The sequence below is a fragment of the Homo sapiens genome, chromosome 5 (assembly GCF_000001405.40).
Source record: "Homo sapiens chromosome 5, GRCh38.p14 Primary Assembly".
Lineage (NCBI taxonomy): Eukaryota > Metazoa > Chordata > Mammalia > Primates > Hominidae > Homo > Homo sapiens.
The window spans coordinates 31,341,596-31,343,918 of NC_000005.10; the positions used below are offsets into that span (position 1 = coordinate 31,341,596).

General features: G+C 44.0%; 1 annotated feature.

The window, feature by feature from the left end:
- Positions 888 to 2,087: an enhancer, noted in NCBI's record as "BRD4-independent group 4 enhancer chr5:31342590-31343789 (GRCh37/hg19 assembly coordinates)". NCBI's record gives its function as "activates an origin of replication core promoter dependent on BRD2, P300/CBP, MED14 and CDK7 cofactors, and independent of BRD4, by STARR-seq in HCT116 cells {active_cell/tissue: HCT116}" and the evidence as "EXISTENCE:reporter gene assay evidence [ECO:0000049][PMID:35650434]".

Genomic DNA, 2,323 nt, shown 5'->3' on the forward strand with positions numbered 1-2,323 from the left:
ACTCAAACTAGCATTATGTGAACTGCATTGCTGCCTTTCCTGCCATTAGACTCCTGTTGGGTCAAACCTATAAACCTCAGCATCTCCACAAACTCAAATTTCAAAGAAAGGAGATAGAGGGGTAATTGGACCACCTTTCCCAGACAACTCTGTGTTTCCTATGCAAATTGCCCTATCTGCTTCAAAGCTGGTTATCCCCTAAGACAACGACAAAGACTGAGTTATACTTTGGGTCCTGGGCTGGACCCTGTCTGATACAAATCTGCACGACCCTGGTCTAAATCAAGGGTCTCTCTGTCTGTTGGGAAAGTGGTTGCCAGGGTCTCTGAGTAATGAAGGGGAAAGAAGCCCTAGGGTACTCAACTTTCTAAAAATGAAGGGGATTGTGAGGGAGAAGTGTCAGTGTCTCACCCATAAAACCCTTTTGAGAAGAGATGACATTCAAATTGAGTCTTCAGTTTGAATAGCAACATTTCAGATGGAGTTGGCAGAGTAGCCTTCCAAGCACAGAGTAGTGAAAAAAAAGTTTCATTGTAGTAAAGGCAAGTCATTTAGTGTGACTAGAGCCAATGATTAGTGTGACTAGAGCCAATGATTAGTGTGGAAACGTTGAGCTGGAAGCACAATGCCAGGGTGTTTGAATTTTCTTCCGCAGGCTGTAGGACGTCCTTGAAGGAGGTAGAGCAGAAAAGTGACATAATCAAATTAGGGATCTACAAAGTTTAAAACAAGAGCAATTTAGAGAATTAAAGTAAAGCTCTGAGTTAGAAGGCTGTTATAGTAATTTAATCAAAATGTAATGAGGGTTTCTAAATAAGACCATTCAGTGAGAATAAAAAATAGGGAAGGCATTTTGGAAGGATATATGCCAGAACTCATTGACTAACTGAGGGTGAGGAAGAGGGAGAAGAGAAGGCTAGGATGACCACTGGCTCTAGTGACTGTGAGAACAATGAGCAGGTGTGAAGAAAAAATATGTCCTATATCGGTTTGCCAAGGTGTTGTAATGTTCCCTGATTTCTTTCCATCCAAAATTCATCATCAGCTTTCTCTGTGGAGTATATTAAGCTAGTGAGTGATGTTTATGCATTAGTTTTCCATTGCTGTGTAAAAACTGCCATGGACTTAGTGACTTAAAACAATACCTGCTTATTAGCTCACATTTCTGTAGGTCAGAAGTCTGGCACATCATGCCTAGGTTCCTTGCTCAGGGTCCCACACTCATGGGATCAGCTGGGCAGGGCTCTTCTCTGGAGGTTTGGGGAAAGAATCTGCTTCAAAGTTCATTCAGATCTTTGTCAAAATCTTGCGCTGTGGGACTGAAGTTCCCATTTACATGCTGGCTGTCAGCCGAGGAGGAGTGTCAGCTTTCAGAGGCTACCTGCATTCCTGGGCATGTGGCCCCCTCCATCTTCAAAGCTAGGAGTGGTGTGCTGAATCCTCATGATGCAAATCTCTCTAACTTTCTATTCTCCCACCAATCAGAGAAAACTCTGCTTTTAAAGGGCTTGCGTGATAAGATGAGGCGCACCCAGGTTGTCTCTCTTTTGGTATGTACCGTGACATCACAGGCGTAACACAATGAAACAAAGGCCACAGGGGCCATCTTAAAACTCAGCCTATCACACCTTCTAAACACAAAGCTAAAAGAAGTGATTCTCCTCCAAGGCCTGGTGGTATGAAGAGGTATATTAAGATCAGAGTAGAGAGTTCAATTAAAACATAGAATCAGAGAGCCAGATGGAGAAGTCAATGTGTCTCCGAAGAGAAGATCCAAAAGCAGAGGCTGCAAGAACGATGAACAAGAGCCAGGAATCGGAGTCCAATAAGTCAGGATAAAAGGGAAAGAGGTAAGCTTGAGGTAAGATGGCAACTTGAACAAAGTATATCACCTCCTGCCCGGCCCCTTGTGATAGTGACACAATGATTTTGAAAATGGTGAAAAAGTTCTGTCAACACTTGAACAACAGAAAATTCCCCCACATGTCATAACTTCAAAGAGTTACAGCTGAGGTGGAACAAGATGATAATAAGTACAGGAGGTCTTGGGGAAACCCCAGCAACATCCTCCAAGTTGGAAGGCCACATATCAAAGAAAAGGACGGATGGTGGAGCAAGCAGGAAGCATGTCCCAGGGAAGCACAATTACTTGGAAGCAACTATGCCATGACCCCAAGAGTGCAGGCTGACCTTCCTAATGGAGAGTTGGTGGCGGCTGGGCTGGATGATGTGACGGGCGGAAGAAACTGGAAAGAACGGCCACCACTTGTGCCCAGAGTAGAAGGTTGAGCCACATCAAAATCTTGGACATAGATATTTGGCC